This window comes from Homo sapiens, chromosome 5 (assembly GCF_000001405.40).
Source record: "Homo sapiens chromosome 5, GRCh38.p14 Primary Assembly".
In the NCBI taxonomy this organism is placed as follows: Eukaryota; Metazoa; Chordata; class Mammalia; order Primates; family Hominidae; genus Homo; species Homo sapiens.
The window spans coordinates 81337560-81361015 of NC_000005.10; the positions used below are offsets into that span (position 1 = coordinate 81337560).

General features: G+C 41.4%; 1 protein-coding gene across 6 annotated transcripts in view; it reads right to left on the bottom strand.

The window, feature by feature from the left end:
* The window catches only part of ACOT12 (acyl-CoA thioesterase 12), an 85526-nt gene that overhangs the window by 28951 nt on the left and 33119 nt on the right, over positions 1–23456 (bottom strand). For 4 of the 6 annotated variants that reach the window (XM_017009047.2, XM_017009045.2, NM_130767.3 and 1 more), the window contains 7 exons: positions 22344–22479; positions 10215–10371; positions 8326–8445; positions 7332–7482; positions 6601–6656; positions 6259–6322; positions 5113–5196 (listed from right to left, as the gene is read on the bottom strand). In XM_017009047.2, coding sequence (XP_016864536.1) covers positions 5113–5196; positions 6259–6322; positions 6601–6656; positions 7332–7482; positions 8326–8445; positions 10215–10371; positions 22344–22479 — 768 coding nt within the window. Of the gene's footprint in view, positions 1–5112; positions 5197–6258; positions 6323–6600; positions 6657–7331; positions 7483–8325; positions 8446–10214; positions 10372–20827; positions 21056–22343; positions 22480–23456 lie in introns of those variants that run through there. The other 2 variants (XM_017009048.2, XM_017009046.2) reach the window with 2 other exon arrangements.

Here is a 23456-nt window from a genome sequence, read left to right on the forward strand (position 1 = left end):
AGACATGCTTATAGGGAGAACACATGTGATGACAAGGGTGGAGATCTGGTGATGTTTCTATAAGCCAAGGAATGCCAAAGACTGACAGAAAATCACCAGAAGCTAGGAGACAAGCATGGAACAGATTGTCCCTCACAGGCTCAGAAAGAAGCAACCCTGCTGACATCTTGGTCTCAGACTACCAGCTTCCAGAATTGTGAGACAATAGATTTCTAATGTGTCCACTACCCAGTTTGTGGTCCTCTGTTATAGCAGCCCTAGGAAACTAATACAGCACTTTTCTGGGGGTGCTGCTCCCCAGGTTGCAGTCACATGCTTCTGCTTCCTATCCTGGAGCCAAACCAAACATCAAGCTAAGTTGTAACCACCACTGAATTCTGCCCTTACAGAGCTCACTTGACTTATCCAATGTCAGGTACAGTACTGGATGAGCAAATTCGATTTTGATCTTTCCCCTAGAAGGTGAGGGTAGCAGAAAGTCCCCGTTGCCCTGCTGTATAAATCAATGATATTGATGCAAACAAAGCAGACAAGGAAATGCAGTAGTTAGTTTTGGTTCTCTTTAAACCCTGCTAATAAAGGCCAGCTTTTGCTTAGTGAAAAAATTTTCCAGGAACAATTCTCCAAGAAAATGAATTACCTTTCACATTTGGGAATATAGAGATTCAATTTATTTATTTATTTGTAACCAACTGATATGGATTGGATTTGTGATTTCAACCAAATCTCATGTCGAATTGTAATCCCCAGTGCTGGAGCAGGGACCTGGTGGGAAGTGACTGGATCATGGGAGTGGACTTCCCCCTTGCTGTTCTTGTGATAGTGAGTGAGTTCTCATGAGATCTGGTTGTTTGAAAGTGTGTGGCACCTCCCCCTCTCTCTTCCTCCTGCTCTAGCCATGTAGGACGTGCCTGCTTCCTCTTCACCTTCTGCCACGATTGTAAGTTTCCTGAGGCCTCCCCAGCCATGCTTCCTGTGCAGCCTATGGAACCCTGAACCAATTAAACCTCTTTTCTTTATAAATTACCCAGTCTCAGGTAGTTCTTTATAGCAATGTGAGGATGAACTAATACGCCAACTCAAACGTTTTCTTTATCATTTGATGGTTGGAGAATTTCATTCTACGAAATGAAGCTTAAAGCAAGCAGGCTCAAAATCTGCTGGATCTTGCTAACATTTTATTAGTGATATCATTGTTTTCATTCTAATAAGATTCTTTTTGAATTTGAATTTAATGTCTTATACAAATAGTATAAGAGGGCTTGCAATCCCAACACTTTGGGAGGCCGAGGTGGGCAGATCACCTGAGGTCAGGAGTTTGAGACCAACCTGGAAACATGGTGAAACCCTGTCTCTACTGAAAACACAAAAATTATCCAGGGGTGGTGGCACATGCCTGTAGTCCCAGCTACTTGGGAGGCTGAGGCACGAGAATCCCTGGAACCCAGGAGGGGGAGTTGTAGTGAACCGAGATCACACCACTGCACTCCAACCTGGGCAAAGAGTGAGACTCTATCTCAAAAAACAAACAGTACAAGAGGAAACAACTAAAAATTTGAGAATTTTTGTACCATCTATTGACAAATATGTTATGGAGACTACACTGTGGTAAAGAGGGCAAAAGTGGTTTTTACAGAAGCCTAGGGGAGCCTTCATTTTCCCTGGAGGTATCTGGAGATGACCACGGGGGCCAAGCGGGTGGGGGTCGGAAGGGCGGAGCTCTGGGCCCAGCCCCTCCCCCGGCTCCATGAGAATAGCTCCCCTCTGGTCTGTTTCCTATACTAGGGGTCTGTCCTATGTAAAGGTTTTCAAGTGGTTCATGTCATTCTGGCTTTCATCATAATTTTCCCAGTACATCCCCAGGTCTTCCTTAAATAAAAAGTTACTCCTGTCAGGCCAGTCTCCTACTCAATGCTAATTTCCACCAGGAGAACTTGGCTTAAACTACCCACTGCCTAGAAAGCCCTATTTCTCCCTCAGCAATCCACTCCTGACACTGTCTTCAAGGAGGTAAGAATGGCCTCCTCTCTAAAGTTCTCCCTATATAACTGTCTTCTCTTGGAATTGCCTATAAGAGCTGACTTTTATGGTTTAAGCACTGTAATCTCTCACTTGTTAATAAACGACCTTATAATTATTCTTCAGCTGTTTCACATACCTGTGTGATGTTTCCAAAATATACATTTTGCTCCTTGTATTACTACTACAATTAATTCTATCATTATACATGAAACATGAAACGAATTAAAACCATAAGCCCTATCCAATTTCATCACATATACTACAATCTTAAATTTTTACCATCTAATTTATATTGAAAACCTGGAAAAAACATGATTTTTTTTTATAGAGATGAAGTCATTTTATGTTGCCCAGGCTGGCCTCAAACTCCTAGGCTCAAACAATCCTTCTACCTCAGATTCCCGAGTAGCTGGGACTACAGGTGGATGCTGTCAGACCCGGCTTTGAGGAAAGTATGATTCTTTTTTTTTTTTTGATATAGGGTCTCACTCTGTTGCCCAGGCTGGAGTGCAGCTGCACAATCTCGGCTCACTGCAACCTCTGCCTCCCAGGTTCAAGTGATTCTCATGCCTAAGCCTCCCAAGCAGCTGAGATTACAGGTGCCCGCCATGACACCCAGCTAATTTTTTATTTTTAGTAGAGATGGGGTTTCACCATGTTGGTCAGGCTGGTCTTGAACTCCTGACCTCAAGTGATCCACCCACTTTGGCCTCCCAAACTGCTGGGATTACAGGTGTGAGCCACTGCGCCTGCCCAGAAAGTATGATTGTTTGTTGTTTTGTTTTGTTTTGTTTTTTTGAGATGGAGTCTCACTCTGTTGCCCAGGCTTGAGTGCAGTAACACGATCTCGGCCCACTGCAACCTCTGCCGCCCAGGTTCAAGCAATTCTCCTGTCTCAGCCTCCCAAATAGCTGGGATTACAGGCGCCTGCCACTGCCCCTGTCTAATTTTTGTAGTTTTAGTAGAGACAGTGTTTCACCATCTTGGCCAGGCTGGTCTTGAACCCCTGACCTTGTGATCCACCTGCCTCGGCCTCCCAAAGTGTTGGGATTACAGGCGTCAGCCACTGAGCCTGGCCCAAAAGTATGATTCTTAACAGACAACTGTGTTGTAAGAATTATTCCACTAAAAGGTGGCAGAAAAAAATTAGAGTCATATTTTGAAATTAAAAACATATAAGCTGTAAAACGTGGGAGAGAAGAGGAGGAAAACTCTTCAAAAACATCTTTTATCAGATTTTTAAAATCAGATTTTTATCATAAGTATAATCTTTAAAGGAGAAATTCAAATTCAATGGAAATAACACAAGAATATTACTTTATACAATATCCTCTAGTAACTATCTGTATAAGAATGAAGAATTAATCATTGATAGCTCTCCCACAACACTAGCAAATTTATTTGGGTATGCTTTGGGCCACACCCTCCCAAAGAACTGCAGTTTTAATATATTCTACGACTTCACTAAATATGTTCTTTCAGTTCATTCCAGACATGAATTTGTTCTTTCCACTGCTGCTCATGAATGCTCAGATGCCAGCAATGATGAAAGAAGTAAGTTTTATAATAGTAAAAGAAAACAAAGTAGTGAAGCATCTTTTATGAAAGATAAACAAATGCATTAGTTAAACCTGTGTTTCTGCATCACTGAACCAGGCAAAGACAGAAATTTAACTGGATCCAAATGGGATAAGGAAGACTTCTAAAGGATTTAATAATGAGGACAGAGAACTCATAAAAGGAAACAACCAAAAACAAAACATTCAGAAGAAGTCAAAGTCAGAGTTGAAACGAATCAATGAAGTAGCATCTGAATTTACTTAGATTTAAAGGTAAAGTAACAATATAATTTATCATCCAAACTGGAACACCAAGAGACTGTTAATAATTATGATGGGACAACAGGTGTAAGCCAGAGCTGTCCCAGGAAAATCAGGACATATGGTCATCCTATTTCATAGGCTGCTGCTTCACTGATGATGAAAATCAGTGCATACTGAAATATGAATGTAGCCAAAGTGCTGGCATTAGTGAGCATCTCTGAAGTGCCAGGCGCTCCTATGGTCTGGGTGTAGTGGTGAGCAGATCGGCCCTCAGGGAGCTTACAGTCTAGTTATTGTGGGCATGAGCTTCCGAGGGTCTCCTAAAAAACCTCTGAAAATAGATAAAATTATGATCCAAATGATGTATGTCTCTTTAAACCTGATGGCATGCAAAACACTGTAATAGGTCCTAAGAGAGATACAAAGAAGTCCAGACAAGGCCTCTTTCTTAAGAGGTTTATAATGTACTTAGGGAAAGAAGACCATGTGTAAAAAGTTAAATTTCCATGTAAGGCTTAAATATTAATTTGAGGTAGCTGTGGAAGAAATGTCACAAGATAGTGTATAATTAATTGACCAATTATTTATTTATTTATTTTTTTTAGAGACAGAGTCTTGCTCTATTGCCCAGACTGGAATGCAATGATGCAATCATAGCTCACTGGAGGCTGAAATGCCTGGGCTCAAGTGATCCTCCCACCTCAACCTCCTGGGTAGCTAAGACTACAAGTGTCTGCTACCACAGCCGGCTAATTTTTAAATTTTTTGTAGAGATGGGGTCTCATTGTTTTGCCTGGGCTGGTATCAAACTCCTGGCCTCAAGGGATCCTCCTGCCTTGGCCTCCCAAAGTACTAGGATTACAGACGTGAGCCAGCACACTCGACCAAAAAAATTAATTTTAAAGAAGTCATGACAGTTACTAGAAAAAGAAGTCCTTAAGTCAAGTGTGGCAGTTGAGGCTTTATGGAGAAGCATCTGTCCTGATCTAGATCAGGTGGGATTTGGGTAGATGGAGAAGAGAAGGAGGGAGAGACGGGATGTGAGAACCTAAGCTCAGAGGTAGGAGCATGTTGGGTATATTTGAAGGACTCCAAATCAACCAGCTTGTAGAGACAGGGCTGAAAAGATGGTTGCGTCTTAGAAACAGTTTCCTCAAAAGATTTTGTTACCTTCTTAAAAGCCTCAGTAGAAGCAGTAGAACCACCACCACCACAGCTTTCGTTTGTGATGGGCGATGGATTATGCAAATACCTGGAAGTGTCCTACCTTTTCCACAGTGCTGGTAACCTCCCAACCCCTTTTGGCTGCCAGTTTTTTGAGGGCCTCCACATTGCTGTCACTCAGGGATGCCTAGAATAGAAATATTATATTTTTAAAGCTATGTGTTCAATACATGGATGTGTGATCATATATTTTCTGCTTAAAAAATGGGCACTGTTGGAGGAGGTATGTGTTGAGTCCTAGTGATAATGTTGAGTTTAGAACTAAACTACAGGCCAGGTGAAGTGGCTCATGCCTGTAGTCCCAGCACTTTGGGAGGCCAAGGCAGGCAGATCACTTGAGGATAGGAGCTTGAGACCAGCCTGGCCAACATGGTGAAACCCCATTTCTACGAAAAATACAAAAATTAGCCGGGTGTTGTAGTGCAAACTTGTAATCCCAGCTACTTGGAGGCTGAGGCAGAAGAATCGCTTGAACCCGCCACCGGGAGGCGGAGGTTGCAGTGAGCCAAGATTGCGCCACTGCACTCCAGCCTGGGCGACAGAGTGAGACTCTGTCTCAAAAAAATACCAAAAAAAAACCCAACAAAAACAAAAACAAAAGCAAAAACGAAAAAAAAACAAACAAAAGTAAAAAGAACTAAGCTACAGGTAACATATACTTTTTATCTTGAACCCTTAATTCAGAATTCAGACAAAGTAACTGTATACTTAACAACTGCGTATCATTTTAGTATCATTTTAGTTGGTGTCCTGAGCAAAGACAGACTACCTTTCAGTATGACTGATAATCAATGTGTAATAAGTAAACTTGGATTTCTCTTTACATTTAATGGTTAAAAATATTCAAATGACTACTACTTTGTTATTGTTTTTATAAAAATGCAAGCTGGTGGGCACAAGTCACGGTGAGATACCAGGTGGCACTGTGCCATGCTTCTGGAACATATCTGATGGCAGAGCATCCTGAGTCTGCAGTTTGGGAACTGTAAGAAGTCAAACAAGGCTAAACTGCCGATTGGTAAGCAGTAACTGATAGCCTGGTTTTGTTTCATCTTGACATGACTGGCTGATATAATCCACCTTTTCACATAGCCTGCGTAGGCACAGCCTAGGCCAGTTAGGCAAGCGGATTTCCATTTTTGTAATGATGAGACTTTTATATGAAGAGCTCCAAATCACAAAACATCACCTGCTTGCTGATATCCCAGTGTATGCAAAGTGGAACCTCTTCTTTGTGGGAAATAACATATTTTCTGGAAAAAAAAATTAAAGTGTTAAATGACAGTTTTTTTCTCTGCATTTAGCACACAACAATAACCATAATACTTTCTTGAACTTCTATCAGCCATGGATATCAGTGGAACAACGTGGAAGAACTATTTCCATAAGTCAGTAGTCAGCCTTTGCGGCCAGGAAACATCAGACCTTCTCTTTTTCCGTTACGTGGGAATAGAGACCCAGAGGGGGGCTCTTATATAATTTGTCAGATTAACGAAGACTCCATAAAATCATTACACCTTATGTTCCTTACCTGCCTAGGCGAATTCGCTTGCGTGCAATAGCTCCCCGATAGCGTCTGAAATCATCCTTTAATCAAAAACAAAGTAAAATCAATAAAATAAAATAAAATATCTACTATCTTAGTGCTATAATCCTTAAGTATCCTTCTCCTAAATCAGTCAAAAGGGCTAACTGAGATGTGGTGTCTCTCCATGAACTGACTTCATCAAGTCAGAGTCTCTGTGCTGAATCCACAAAGGGCAGTTGCACTGACAAAGGTGCAATCTTTGCAGCTATTTTCTTCCTTTTCTCAAAAGTGGAGATTATTAACATTCCTGTTACCAGAATTATACTTAATTCTCACTACAGAGTTTTTAGAAAAAATTAACATTGGCAATCAGGTAATTTAGGGATGAGGGAAAGATATGGTTTCCATGAACCTGGCACGTGGCACAGCATCAAGAGCTAGAGTTAAGGAAGTGAGAGAAGAGACCCAGAAACAGGACATAGAAGGTGACATCCTACCCACAGCAGTGTGTAGCCCGGTAGAGGTGAGGTCTTCAGGGCTTCCATCATTTGAACAAATGATCAGAGTGATCGGGGGGAAAAGGAAAAGAAAAAAGCCCACTTCACTTTGTGATGCTGAAAAGAGGGAAAACCAAAGGGAAAGAGCCAAAGAGGTTGTTGCCGGTGGGAGGAGATTCTAGGTAGAGCTCTCTATTCACAGGTCCGGCTATTGAACCTCGTGTGATAATAACTGACCTTTGAAATGGGTTGGATTCTGGGAAACGTGATGAGATTTTCCTTATCATCAGCAGCATTGTAAATGAGAAAAGCACTGTTGATGTGACGCCCTCGGCCCTCGGCCCATTCCTGACAGTCAAAGGCCTCCACGCGAACTCCAACTTCAACACTGTGAAGGGTGATGCAGGGCGGTGGGCAAAGAGGATCTTGACCCATCAGGCCCTCCTTGCACACCGCTGCCACCTCCTCGCCCACCGCTGCCACCTCCTCTAAGCAACAGGAGGATAAGGGCCTGGGTTTTCTTGTTTGTTATCAGCAAACCTGTGCAACTATTAAAATCCATTTTCAGGTCAATGGGCTGCTTTTTACAAGCCCCTAAGAGCATTTCCATTTTACTTCCCCACTTTCAAGTGGGAAAAAGGCCAGGAAGGGCTTTATATACATTCAAGAACATATTTTGGCAATGTGGGGGAGGGCTTAAATTATGCCAAAGTTAAGTTTTCTTCCCTAAAAACAATAATTCTGTAATTAAAAAATAAACACTGAAATTAGACAGGAAACACAGATATTCATTTTTACATTTAAAAAGAAAATAATACTAAATCAAATCTTTTCATTGTGTATCAAGAATAATAAAAATAACTGGGAAGTGGTTTGGATTTCATGGTGGTAATACCAGGTCCATTATGAGTTGATTGACCATCTAGTCACTGGGACTGAAAGGAAAAGTTAATAATTATGCAGGGATGACAGGTACAAACCAGGTCCTACTTGGGCCAATTGGGACATACGGCTACCCTTATAAGACAAAAACCAGTCCTTCACAATTTACTAATTGTGAAAAGGCCCCAAGCAGAACAAAGGGTTAAAAATATGTTCATGGATTTTGAAAATTGCATGAAAAAAATGGAATTTCACTAAAGTAGTTCCCATACTCACCTCCAGGCTGAAATTAAAAATTACATTTGTGCAAGTTTAAATTTCTTCATAGCAGCCTAAGGGCTCACTTTACCAGGTCTGAAATGTATTGTTGACAATGGCAGTGAAGACAAGACGATCTCCAACTGTAGATGGTCCCCGGAACTTAAACATATCTACGGACTTCAGAAAGGGATGAGCCCAACACAGGCGGCTGGGGAGACAAAGGGAGGGAGAGAGAAGAAAGCGATCACACATTCATTCATCGAACAAATGCACAGACAAGTCTTCAAATAAGCATTTCTTTAAATTTGACTGAAATAAATAACTGGATTATGTGGGTTGAGGGTAGGTCTGCACGCTACCTGCCAATATTTTGGGAAATACCATGTCCCCGAGCAGTGGGGTCTTTACCCAGATGTTGATGCTTCTACTCCTTTGGTAACAGTCCTACTCTTGTCTCGTTTCCTGTGGAAGTCCCTTGGAACAACAAACCAATGCTTTTTGTTCTAATCTGAATTACAGTCATCCTGATAGCTCATGACTGTAGTCCCAAGAAGTTCTGATCCAGGTTGGAGTGGGGTCCAAGTGAAGGCAGGTGTCCTTACACAATTCCTCAGCTTTACAGTTAATCAAATTCACCCACAGATCAAAAGATAAGTTTTTTCCCCTCACAGAAAAATTACCTGGATTGCTACATAAAGCCTGAAAGGCTAGGAGATACACATTTTATAATTTTTGTGTGTATGACACTTTGAAATAATTATATATAATATTTAATTTCAGAAAGTTACTTCCATAATTTTCTACATTTTAGATTCCCAGTCATCATTCAATTACTCTGTGCCAACACCAAGCGAACAGATGCTGCCATAAGCCTTTACAATAGAACATGTTCAATTGCTTTACTGTCACTAAGAATGACAATCTCATTTTAAAAACAAGCTCTCTTATTTGTGCATAATTTTTAGAAAGGATAACTACTGGTTTGTAACTATAGTCATAACTATAGACATATTAATAATAAAATTATTTTAATTTGAGGGAAATACAACCTTAAAAATTTTCAATGGTTATGAAAATTGTCAGAAGGGCAGATCCTATTCAAATGCATTTACAGGGTACAGAGTGTTCCCTAAAACTGCTCAATTACCTACATCTTTCCATTAAGAATAAAATAACCTTTTTGAAATTGAGGAGTCTTTAAAAGTATTCTAAATATTCTCTTCTTTCTTTTCCTATTTTTCAATTATTTCTTTGGCCATAATTATTTTTAACCAGCACCTTTAAAGGTCAGACCTAACTGTAAATTGTCTTTAAAAAGGTTTGTAACTAACTGACTTTATTTATTTACTTACTTATTTATAGAGAGGCTGGAGTGCAGTGGTGTGATCATAGCTCACTGTAGCTTTGAATCCCTGGGCTCAAGTGATCGTCCCACCTCCGCCTCCCAACTAGCCAGGACTATAGGTGCACACCACTACACCAGCAAATTTTTTTTGTAGAGTCAGGGTCTTGCTATGTTTCCCAAGCTGGTCTTGAACTCCTGGCATCAAGCAATCTTCCTGTCTCGGCCTCCCAGAGTGCTGGGATTATAGGTGTGAGCCACCCTGCCCAACCTAGACTGATTATTTTTAAGTGTGAAGCCTGTCTTCTATTTCTGTTCTGCATTTACTTTGTCATAAGCTATCAAGACAATGAGTTGCAGTTTCATAAGATCAATATTCATAATTCAGAATAAAGTATTAAAACTGTCATCTCATTTTTATTTTTGAACCAAAATATTTAAACATTCACCTTCAAACAAAAGGACAGATTAATCCTAAAGTAAGAAAGTAAATGATTTAGAAATCATTATAAAAGGCAACATTTTCCTCAGTCCTTTCCTTGACTTCTTGACTATCCCAAGAACTGGATCTCAGTCCCTTTCTACTTTCTCCTCACTGGTCCCAAAATCATAGGCCGAAGGTCAAAACCAAGAACCTTGCAGAAATAGTAGCCACTGTCTCCATCCACGCCATAATCTGGCCACCAAATGTATTTCCGTGATGGTTTGCATGGGGTGGGAGGACCAGTTCAATGCTCTGAACGGAGGTGCCCCTTGTGGAAACCGCTCCTTCCTCTTCATCAAAAATGAGATCTGAAAGGTGGATGTAAACATTAATGATGGTGGAGTGAACCATAGGCCCTGGGGCTCCAGCTTTTCCTTCCCGGCAGTACATTCAACTCGGATTTATAGAAAAATTAAAGTGTTCTCAAAGCCTTAAGACTGAGAAAATTGACAGGTTCTACAGAGTGACTCTTATCTTAATGGTGAATATTTGCAATGAATTGGGTTAAGATAATCAGAAAGGGCCTTTTAGAGATTGTATTCTAGCCTATAAAATAAGTCTATTGGAATTTTGACTAAAAGAATGGTTACACTGAAACTTGAGTTGTTTGTGGTGGGGTAGGGACAGATCAGGACAGGAAGGGGCAGAAATGTTGGGGGTGATGGATATGTCATTATCTTGATTGTGGTGATGTTTTCACAGGTGTAAACTTACTTCAAAACTTATCAAATTATATGCTTTAAATATGGGCCATTCATTGTTTGTCAATTACACCACAATAAAGTTGTTAAAGATAAAGGAATCTGAGCTACAAAGGACCAGAGACACCAGGAAGCTTGAAACACTACCTTCAGAATGGAAATGTGGCCTCCTGCGGAAACTGTTTGTAATGATTGCAGTCACAAGCAGGAAAGACACAATCTGTTATACTTCTTCATGTCCTTCTGCTCTCTCTTTTTTTTTAGACAGTCTCACTCTGTCATCCAGGCTGGAGTGCAGTGGTGCGATCTCAGCTCACTGCAACCTCAGCCTCCCAGGTTCAAGCAATTCTCCTGCCTCGGCCTCCCGAGTAGCTGGGCTTACAGGTGCGTGCCACCACGCCTGGCTAATTTTTGTATTTTCAGTAGAGATGGTTTTCACCATGTTGGCCAGGCTGGTCTTGAACTCCTGACCTCAGGTGATCTGCCCGCCTCGGCCTCCCAAAGTGCTGGGAATACAGGCGTGAGCCACCGCGCCTAGCTTTCTGCTTCTTTTGAATCATATCTGCTCCGTTTACTAACAAATTGGTTTTTACTCTTAACAATGGAAAAATCATTTACTCTGGCTGCAAAGCAGTAAAATGTATTCAATTATGCTTTTTGCATCACGAAGTGAACCACCGGCTAGGTTTCCATCTCACATGCTATTGTTGGGAAGGAGGGGGAAAGGATTTACAAACTGGGACACCATCGTGGCTGTACTGTCAGAGGCAGAGCTGAGCTTGCAGTGTGAGAGGGAAGATATGCCCAGCAACTGTTGCTGCTCTCGGCATAGTCACATCTGGTGATCCAGAAGGGTAGTCACAGAAACCCTTAATTCCACTTCCTAATGTAATTTTTAGATTTATAATTAATTGATGATCTCTTTTATTTTTTCTTATTTCCAGTGATCGTTTCAGTCCCCAGCTTAAAACAAGTCAGTAGCTACCCATTGTTCTCGTATAAAACCCCAAATCCTTCCCATGGCCTGCAAGCCCTGCATTCCTGGTCTGGCCTCACTCTCCCTCTCCCTTTGCTCCAGCCACGCTGGTCTTTTTTCACTTCCTCTGAGGAAGTATTACCTTCAACAACAGGGCATTTGTCACATCCCTGCTGTCTACGGCAATCCCCCTGGCCACCATCACCTGTGTCTTCAATTTCACTCATACTCTGTGGCCCCCCCTTGGTCATTACTTCCTCAGTGGAGCCTTCTCTGACCTCCACAGCTCAGCCCCACCTTCAGGGTCTCTTGAAGGATCTTTCTTTCATGGCTATAGTTTTATGTTATTTGTGTGCCCTTTTATTATGTGACCCACTAGATCCTAAGCTTTTTGGTGCAGGGACTATGGATTTTTAAAATTCTCATATAATTCCTGAACATAGGTGCTCAATAAATATTTATTAAATGAAATGAATGAATAAACTTAACTTAGCTGATTTCCTTAACATTCATAGTCCTTACTCTCAACAGAATATTTTTAGGTAATAAAATAGTTGTACTGACACTTCTGTCTGCTGTTGATGAGAGTCCCCACTGGTCCCCATTTTTGCTTAGAAGTATCAGACACTCAACTATTTCCAGTTTGGTGGGTGTGGAAGAGTATCTCACGTTGGTTATAATTTGCATTTTCCTGATTACTAATGAGTTCCAACATCTTTTTACATGTATATTAAGTATTCTTGTCACCTCTTCATGAAATGTCTCTTTATATCATTTGCTTCAAATATTGCTTGTCTCATTTCCGGAGAATTTTTTTGCATGTTAGACATTTCTCTCCATTCTTCATGTTTCCTAACCTCCCTTACATGTTCCCCATCTCTTTGTCTATCTGGCTGCATTCTAGTTAACTCTTTCAGATCTATCTTCCAGTTCCTTGTCTTATCTGCTGTTTCATTCATTCACTGAGTTTCAAATTTTAATTATTATATATTCTTTTTTATAGAAATCGTCTTTGTTTCTTTGTTAAACCTTCTAGGTTATCTTTTTTGTTGTTGTTGTTCTTGCATTATACTCTTGATACTCTTTTATTTCTTAAAACATATTAAGCCTCTTCATCTTACTTGATAAATTCATTATCTGCTGTCTTTGTGGGCCTCGTTCAGACTTTGTGGGGCCTGGTGTCACTTCCAGATCTTGAAGCCTTGCTTTATTTCTATCTTTTATGATTTTTCACTAGGATCTCATATTGCTTGGATCTTTTTCTGTGGAAATTCTTGGGAGCTGGCTTTAAAGTCATTTCTTCACAAAGGAGCTGCATTTGCAGCTGCAGATCCCCTGGGGTCCTACAACACAGCACCACTTTACACTAAAGTTTACTTGTTCTGTTTTAGCCCAGACAGGTCATGTGACTTCTGAGGATCCAAATCTTCATGAGGATGCACTTGTGATTGAATTCTGAAAGGGAGAGAATTTTTTTTCCCATTCCACCTAAGGCTAAGGCTCTCTGGAGGGTGGAATTTTTCTGGTTGACTCACTGAGGGAATCACCTTTTGGAGGTTCCAGCACCAAGGAAGGTTCCCTGATCCAACCTTCTCCCTCACATGGACGCCTGGTTTTGTCTCCTGAGCCCAAGCAGGCCCACCTGCTGGGTCCTCCAGGACAAATGCCAGCCCCCATGCTTCCTTGCACTGCGGCATTTGTGTTTTCTCACCATTTCTGGACTTCAAAGTTTTCTCTTATTTTTCTGCCTGCTGAGATGTGTTTGCAAAGATGTTTGTAAATATTTTTCCAGAAATTTTTGGTTTTACCCAACAATGAATCCACTATATTGCTAGAATCAAAATGGAATCACTTTCTAAAGTGATCTTTGAAAGAAATACACAATCTTAATCCCTTTCAATTTCTCTCTCTTTCTAAAATTGATTTTATTTGAAGATGTTTTATACATATCCCAAACTAGTATTTATTGAGGTTGTTTTCAGGCTAATGTTACTTACTCAAATGGCACATTTTTTGTTTAAAATAAATTAATACAATTATCTGACTTCAAATTATGCTACAGAGTTGTAGTAAGCAAAACAGCCAGGCACTGGCATAAAAACAGACACATAGACCAATGGAACAGAACTGGGAACCCAGAAACAGATTCACACACCCACAGTGAACTCATATTTGACAAAGGTGCCAAGAACATACATTGGGGAAAGGACAATCTCTTCAATAAATGGTGCTGGGAAAACTGGATACTCATATGCAGAAGAATGAAACTAGACCACTATCTCTTACCATACACAAAAATCAAATCAAAATGGATGAAAGGCTTAAATCTAAGACCTCAAACTATAAAACCATTATAGGAAAACATCAGGGAAACTCTCCAGGACATTGGTCTGGACAAAAATTTATTGAGCAGTACCCCACAAGCACAGGTAACCAAAGCAAAAATCAACAAACGGAATCACATCAAGTTAAAAAGCATCTGCACAGCAAAGAAAACAATCAACAAAGTGAAGAGACAACCCACAGAATGGGAGAAAATATTTGAAAGCTATCCATCTGATAAGCGATTAATAACCAGAATATATAAGGAGCTTAAACAGCACTATAGGAAAAAAATCTAATAATCTGATTAAAAAATGGGCCAAAGATTTGAATAGACATTTCTCAAAAGAAGACATGCAAATGGCAAACAGGCATATAAAAAGGTATCGACATCACTGATCATCAGAGAAATGCAAATCAAAACTACAATGAGGTATCATCTCACCTCAGTTAAAATGCCTTTTATCCCAAAGACAGGCAATAACCAGTGCTGGTAAGGATGTGGAGAAAAGGGAACCTTCATACACTGTTGGTGGGAATGTAAATTAGTACAACCCCTATGAAGAACAGTTTGGAGGTTCCTCAAAAGACTAAAAACAGAACTATCATCAGATCCAGCAATCCCATTGCTGGGTATACACCCAAAAGAAAGGAAATCAGGATACTGAAGAGATATATGCATTCCCATGTTTGTTGCAGCCCTGTTCACAATAGCTAAAATTTGGAAGCAACCTAAGTGTCTATCAACAGATGAATGAATAAAGAAAATATGATACATATACACAACAGAATACTATTCAGCCATAAAAAAGAATGAGATCCTGTCATCCGCAACAACATGGATGGAACTGGAGATCATTATAAGTGAAATAAGGCACAGAAAGACAAACGACAAACATTGCATGTTTTCACTTATTTGTGGGAGCTAAAAATCAAAACAATTGAACTCATGGAGATAGCAGAAGCATGCTTATGAGAGGCTGGGAAGGGTAGTGGGAGGGTGGGGATGGTTAATGGGTACAAAAATATAGTTAGAAAGAATGAATAAGACCTAGTGTTTGACAGCACAACAGGGTGACTACAGTCAATAATAATTTAATTATATATTTAAAAATAACGAGTATCATTGGATTGTTTGTCACACTTGAAGGAGTGGATACCCCATTTTACATGATGTGATTATTGCACATTTGTATGCTTGTATCACAGTATTTCATGTATCCCATAAATATATACACCTACTGTGTACCCACAGAAATTGAAGTGTGTGTGATAGTGACGGTCTCTGAAGGTGGGAAGTGAGACGGTAGGCAGACTTACTTTTTAACTATATGCCTTTTTATGCGTTTTGCATTTTTTACCCTGTGCATGTACTATCTCTTTAAAAATAGTTTTTAGATAATTATAAATAAAAAATTAAGAGAAGGCCTTATGAGAGACATTGTAAAGACTCAAATATAAAGCAGCTCCTTCTTTTCTGAGGGATAACTTTAAAGAGAAACCACATACTTCCTATGAAGACATATACAGTATATACTGGAACCTGTAGAGGGAGGTGCTAGGTGAGATTATACGTGCACCAGCATCAGCTATGATACGTATGCAGAAATATATTGAGTTAGATGACTTTGGTGCAGAAGTTTGCTTATTTGGAGTTAATTTACAACCAACGAAAAAAATAGGGTTTTCCCAGGTTCAGAGAGCAATTCAGGCTCGCAGTTCTGGTTTGGGTTAAGTAAACAGAACTCACCCTTTCTGCTGGCTTTGAGTGATCAAGTTCAATACGTGTACTTTGGATGTTCTTAAAGTACTGTGTCATCAACCTGCTTTGACAACTTTACATTCACTCTACATTTGTAGATCAGGAACTTTGACCTGAATTGAGGTCATGCTAGCCCTAGTTTTCTTTCTGCATATCCAGAAAATTAACCATGATAATGCTCTTAAGATCTGATTTTCTTACTCAAAAATTAAATTAAAATGCTTTCAAATTTTAAGTTTTTCCCCTATATGTCAAGCTTGCAAATAATGATCCAGTAGTATTTCTGAGATGTGCGTGCTTATACACATTCCAGAAATATCCTGCTTTTACAAAACTAATCTCATCTCTTTTCTTTTCTTCCGAAAGGATATGATCTGGATTCAATGTTCTCACTGTTCTAATAATATGCATTTCCATCATACAACATCTTGAAAAATATTCCAATCTTTTATGTTTGATATTTATAACCAACACAAACCCCTGGTTTTCTAAAAACATGGTACAAGAACAGAGATGGGTTGGTTCTCTTCTTTTAGAACACACAATGTCCTATCAAAAACCAACTCCATCTGATCTAAGGAGCAGCAGGTGGAGAAATCACATACTACACAGCGGCTTTAAATGTCAGAGTCTGGCTCTTGCATTCTTTAAGATGAATTGCTTTTAAGTTCTCTGGCACCTTTGCTGGCATGGAAGTTAGTAAAATTTCCAAAAACAAAATCAGATCAGTGGAATTAGGTTAAAAGTTGTTTTATGTGAAAGGATGTAGAATAAGTTAGGGCAGATTAAACAAAGCAGATGATAAAAGAAGACTTTGAGAAAAATCTATAATTTGAAATTGAACTTTGAACTAGACATGTAGATGTAGATCTAATCTGGCCAACTTTGTAACACACTGAAACTCAAGTCAATTGCAATCGTTTTATCTCTATATTTGAATGACTGTCATGTGTGCCTGTCACTAATTTAGACTATCTCCAGTATTCAAAGTACTGTTAGTGTTGTGCAGACAAATTGTCTGCTGCTGATTTCACTTATTAGTGCAACTTGCACAACACCAGAAGAAGCCGGTGCAGCCACCCATGTTTACCTGGCTCTTGTTACCTTGAGGGGGGTGTGAAGACAGCTTCAGTCACCATCCTAGCAACCCTTCCCAATAGACGAACCCTCGCAAGGGAGCTCAGGGTAGCAGAGATCCCCATTCCTCCAAGATAAAAACATGACAACAATTTCCCAGTGTCTAAAGTACAGATTTGACACGAATTATCTCTTTCTTTTATAATTAACTTCTTCCTCAATAATTATTTTTATCAATTATGTCTTTTTTTTTTTATTTTTGAGTCAGAATCTGGCTCTGTGGCCTAGGCTGGACTGCAGTGGTGCAATCTTGGTTCACTGTAAACTCCGCCTCTTGGGTTCAAGCAATTCTCTTGCCTCAGCCTCCTGAGTAGCTGGGATTACAGTAGTGCACCACCACGCCTGGCTAATTTTTGTATTTTTAGTAGAGACAGGGTTTCACCATGGTCTCGAACTCCTGATCTCAAGTGATCCGCCTGCCTCAGCCTCCCAAAGTGCTGAGATTATAGGCATAAGCCACCGCCAGGCCTCATCAATCATCTTGATCAGCCTGGAACCATGACCAAATTTCTCCTAGCCTGAAAAACAATGCCCCTTGACTTTGAGGGTCGCCTGTAGCTCCAGGCTATTTCTTTCATCCTTTACAGCATAGTTCCTGAGAAGCATCTGTCTTTAACTCTTGGCTCTAATTCCTCCTGTGGAGGGGACCTCTCAAACAATAATAGAAATGACAGCACTTTCTGCATGCCTGACACTTTCTATATTAACTCATTTAATGCTCCCATAAACCCATTATGTAAGTACCTTTATTATTCCCATTTTACAGTTCTCGTTTTGTTTATTATTTACCTTGCTTCGGCAAGCTGAGAAAAGCAAAGTCAGAGGTTTTGGTTATAGACCTGTTACAGTACTATTCAGCATAACACAGAAGGACATCCTGTCATTTGCAACAACATGGATGGAACTGAGGTCATTATGTCAAGCAAAAGAAGTAGGGCACAGAAAGACAAATATCACATGTTCTCACCTATTTGTGGAATCTAAAAATCAAAACAATTGAACTCACAAAGATAGAGAGCAGAAGGATGGTTCTGCCAAGTCAGAGGACTTGGTTACAGACCTGGATAAAAAAAGCGTTGGATAAGAAAATAAAAAGAGCAGCTTTGTGCTGGGGCAACCACTGACTATGAGAAAAAGATGAGCCAATGCATAGGGCCAGCTCCTAGCAATTCGCCTTTAGGAGTAAGTCCGGTGGGAGGAGGTAGCTCTCTCCAGGGTGGATGGTTTGGGTTGAGTGGGCCGATGGATGCCTCCTGCTTCCTGTGGGGCTGGGTCCAGAGGCCAGAGAGGAGCAAGTTCCACCTTGGATGGCTGGAGTGAAGGAAAATACCTTGAGAGAAGTGAGTTCCTGCTAAATGCTAGTGCTGCTGTGGGAAACAATGCCTTAGTTTTCCACAAAAGCAAAGGCTCTGAACTAGCCAAGCTGCTCTAAGAGCTGCAATGGCCACTGTGTCCCTCACCGTCCACATGTCCTGCAACAGATGACACTCGGGCTGTTGGGGCCATGAGGCTCGCAGCTCTACTTCCCTCCCCACCCCCCGCATCCTTGTACATGTGCTTCAAACAAGCCTGGTGATAGGAGTGTTTACTTTGGCCTGTGTATATGACATAAAGGTTATGGTAAACTGTCCCTCATCCCATTATTCCTCTAAGTAATTAAGGTCATCCAAGTGTCTCCCACACTTCTTCTAACCCCACACTTGCCGATGTCACCAATGCCTTCCTGATTCCCAGTCCAGTAGACAGGTTTTATTCCTCACTTCCTGGGACGCAGTTGACCACTTACTATTTCTTCTTGTAACTCTGCTGCCTTGGCGTGTGACACTGCTCTCTCCAGCTCTCCCTGCACCCCTCTGATTAGTCCCTCCAGGTCTCCTTAGTAGGTTTGTCTTTCTGGATCCTCTCTTAGATGCCTGTGCTTTGCAGGTTCTGTTCTTGGCCCAGCACCCTGTGGGCTGCAGGTTGTCTTCATTTGAACTACTTCTCTAAGCAGTTGTCTCTCAGATGAAATCTCCCCAGCTGTGGTCTCTTCCTTTTGGATGTCCACAGGCACTTCAGACTCCATATGCCTAAAACTGAACTCATCATCTACCTCCCAAAAATTGCCGTTCCCTGCCCCTCAGATCCATGATCTCAGTTCATGGCACAACTGCTAACCAGCTGCTCCAAGCAGACACCCAGGAGTCAGCCTATGCTCCTTCTTCCTCGCCCTTCTCCCCACAGCCAATCGGTGACCCTATTTTGTTGGTGTGATCTCGTGTGTATTTTTAAACTCTTTCCCTCCTGTCTCTCCCCACTATCACTGCCTGGTTTAGGCACCCCTCGCCTTTCGCCTGGTCTCTCTCCCTCTAGCCAGAGTGACCATATTAAGTGCAAACCCAGTCATGCCCCAACCCTGCTCAAAATCCTTCAATGGCTCCCATCAAGAACAGAAGAAAGGCCAAGCCTCTCGACATGGCCCAGGGAGCCTCCATGACACAATCCTACCTTCTTCCTCTCCCGCCTCCCTCTACCTTGCATTTTCTCTCTAGCAATACTCTTGTGTTGGTGGCTTCCCAGCACACAGTGTGCTGGTTCATGCCTCCGTGCCTTCACCCTCACTGCTACGCAATTCCTCGCCTTCCCAACTTTCTTCTCATAGCCCCTCCTGCAGCGAGTCTCTCGTGAACCCTGAAGGGCCCTTCCTCTGGGCTCCCACATTACTTAGAGTCTACAGCTCTCTATTCACTTACTATATTATTTAGAAACTATTAATATGTCTGTCTCCAGCACTAAACTACAAGTTTCTTAAGAGCAAAGACCCTGCATTATTCATCTTTATACCTCTAGTGGCAAGCAGGTTCCTGGCACATGACAGGCGTTTCATACAGAACTGTTGGAAGGAACTACCAGTCAGTGTGGAAGTCTTTCCTTGCTGCTGAGAGGGAAGGAGTCCTTCCACCTATATGACTATCAATGATTTTATCCACAATCACACACACACACTCCATCTAGCATGCACCGGGGCAAACTGGCCAGCACCTCACGCATCACAGGGTCACCCTCTTCCTGGTGGGCAGCAGCTTGATCTAGAGAGTTCCGGGCAAAAGGGTGGAGAATGACCTTGAGATGTGATTCAGACGAGGGATGACTTGGAGAGGATGAAAGCAGTTCTTGTAAGAATCTCTGGATAAACATGCACAGATTTCAAAAGAACTGTTCCTTGCTGGGCGCGGTGACTCACACCTGTAACCCCAGCACTTTGGGAGGCCAAGGTGGGCGGATCACCTGAGGTCAGGAGTTCAAGACCAGCCTGGCCAATGTGGTGAAACCTCGTCTCCCCTAAAAACACAAAAATTAGCTGGGCGTGGTGGCGCATGCCTGTAGTCCCAGCTACTCTGGAGGCTGAGGCAGGAGAATTGCTTGAACCTGGGAGGCAGAGGTTGCAGTGAGCTGAGATTGCGCCACTGCACTCCAGCCTGGGTGACAGAGTGAGACCCCATCTCACAAAAAAAAAAAAAAAAAAAAAAAGAAGAAGAAGAAAAACAACTGTATTTTGACATTGTCAATCAGAATTCTGGTTGTTTAGTGGCTTATTTCTACTTTCTCCTTATGAACTCAGGTAGTGTAATTTCATTGAGGACAGAAAGCTTTTTTAAAAGACATAACTGCAGAAAGGAAGACCAATGAAACTAGGGGAAATGCATATGCCTATTAAAAACTGTGTTAAATGCTTGAGTTTCCTAAGATGTCCTAAGAGATTTACTTGTCATGCATAGAACGGGTTTGCTCATTAGTAAGTATTTTATCTGTCATTTCATTTCTTCCTTGGGATTTAAGGGATGAGGAGACAGCAGGGTTTTGTTTTTTATTAATGGTTGTCTCACCTGCCTCAGGGTGCCTCAGCAGCTTCTCTTGGTTCTCTTGGTTCAGCTATTTCATTACTTGAGCAACATGCATTTGAAATGTATTTTGGTGCTGAGACCAGCTTTATAAACGGAGACTTGCTCTTCTTAACACCGTCATTTAATGATGAAGTCTTCATTTCCTTAAAAATAACTTGGTCTGGGCTGGGCACAGTGGCTCATGCCTGTAATCCCAGCACTTTGGGAGGCCGAGGCAGGCGGATCACCTGAGGTTGGGAGTTCGAGACCAGCCTGGCCAACATGGTGAAACCCCATCTCTACTAAAAATACAAAATTAGCTGGGCGTGGTGGCACGCGCCTATAATCCCAGCTACTTCGGAGGCTGAGGCAGGAGAATTGCTTGAACCTGGGAGGCATAGGTTGCAGTGAGCCGAGTTTGCACCATTGCACTCCAGCCTGGGCAACAAGAGCGAAACTCTGTCTCAAAGAAAAAAAAAAAAATCAAGTTGGTAATGGGTATTGCCCTTTGAAAGGTCAGCAATGAGTAGAAACCTTTGAAAAATCTCTTTTTCAACCCGTAAGTCTTCTGTGGGGTGGTCCCAGGATATCCCCTGGGGCAGAATAAAGGCTTTGCACTTCTGCCATACTGGCTGCTACCTCTCCCTTTCCTCTGGCCTTTCCATGCACTCTTTCTCCTTCTCTTTTGACATCCTTGTTCTGACATGTTCTTGTCCTCTCCTTTCCTTCCTCTTCTTCCGGTGCCTTCCTTTGGAGCCAAGGGTTGCTGAACCTTCTGCCCTCTTGGCAGTGGTGAGCTTGTGGGGCCTGGGCGGGCTCACTTCACTTCCTCCCCTCCCTCATTGTGCTCTCCACCGGCACCCCTTGGGGCTTCAGAAGATAGGGTCAGACAAAAAGAAAGGGCAGAGGAGGGGCAAGGGCGGGGCTCTGCCTTTCCCTACCAGTCTGGCTCCAGGAGGCATCAAAGAGCCCAGGAAATCACTGCCAGAGAACTAAGGAAGTGTGGCTCATAAAACGCAGGGTGATTGTGGAAAGCACCAGGCAACAGGAGCAGGATCTTAAGTCTCTGCTCATACCCCATATGATCTTTAGCAAATTTCTTTCCTACTCAGAGTTGCAGCTTTCTGCTCTGTTGAGATTACATGCAGCTCCTATGAAACCGTGGACGAGAAACTGCTTAGTAAGCCACGAAGCACCGTGTCAATGTATGGCATTGTCATCAACCCTTCATTCAGCCATCATTAGTGAATACATGCTTACTAATGACTGCCTGGTCCCTGTCACCCTTTTTCCCCATCTCCTTTCCTGGAGATCTTCCAATTTAAAGAGGCCTTAGGTGTCAGCAGTTACATTCTCAATGGCCAGGTTTCTTCTCCAGCCACCGGGTTTGTTGGAAAGGATACCTAGTGTCACCAGGACTGAATGGTAATAATAAGGTGAAAATAAGTGTGCTCTAAGAAAAGACTCCTTTGCCTGTCACAGTTATAGAATTAAAATTCTTATAAGTGGATTTACTGACCATCAAATTTGCTACTTTCCTTCATTAAATTGTTAAAGGTATCTTCATGTTGTAATCGAACTTTCCTTCTCTCAGCAGCCAGATTATGTTCCACATGATCTTGTTCAGTTAGAAGTGTGACTGGTTTTAAATGAATCTAGAGAAAGAAAAGCATTTATCTTTTATTGCCTTGTTAAATTATAAAAGCACAGCATGAATTTTGCAAAACAAATGATATGCTACATGGTTTTCTAACTCAAGTAAATAGAGCTTTTATGAGTGTTTTCACTAAACATGTTATGACTAAATTTTTTCTTAAATTATTTTTAAACTAAAAAAATCAACATAGGCGTAATTATTTCTTCATGCAATAAGATATGTGCTTTAAAAATTCTCTCTATTATTTTCCCTGATTTTAAAATTTTTCAACAGAACTACAAAATAAGAAATTATTCATATTGATGAATGAGGAGATGGACTTTGACTCCACTGAAATCTAAACATTTCCTATCTTTGCAAAATTAAGAAAGCAAAGAGAGGGAATAAATTTTGCAAAATTAAGAAAGCAAAGAGAGGGAATAAAGATGTTCTAGAGAAAGTTATCTTATACCATGATACCAATTTGGAAATTTCATTACATGGTGAAAACATTATCTAATAAGCAAAACAAAAGAATCAATATGTAGGAATAAAGCTTTCACCAACTTCCAGAAACCTGGAAATATGAGGCAACAGAACCAAGAGCTCAAATTCTTACATAAATGCCCTTTGCTGACCCTGTGTGTAGAAGGAAGGGTCACCTTGAAGCTGGACTGGGGTAGCTCCATGCTTGTTTCCAAGATACTCAAAGTCTGGTACGGACCCTTGGCCAAGATAAGGATGAAATAAGCTAGTGATCCCTGGGTGTGGTGGCTCACACCTATAATCCCAGCACTTTGTGGGGCTGAGGTGGGTGAATCACTTGAGGTCAGGTGTTCAAGATTATAGGTGTGAGCCACTGCACCTGGCCAACACGTTGAAACACTGTCTGTACTAAAAATACAAAAAGTAACCGGGTATGGTGGAGCACACCTGTAATCCCAGCTACTTAGGAGGCTGAGGCACAAGAATCGCTTGAACCCAGGAGAAGGAGGT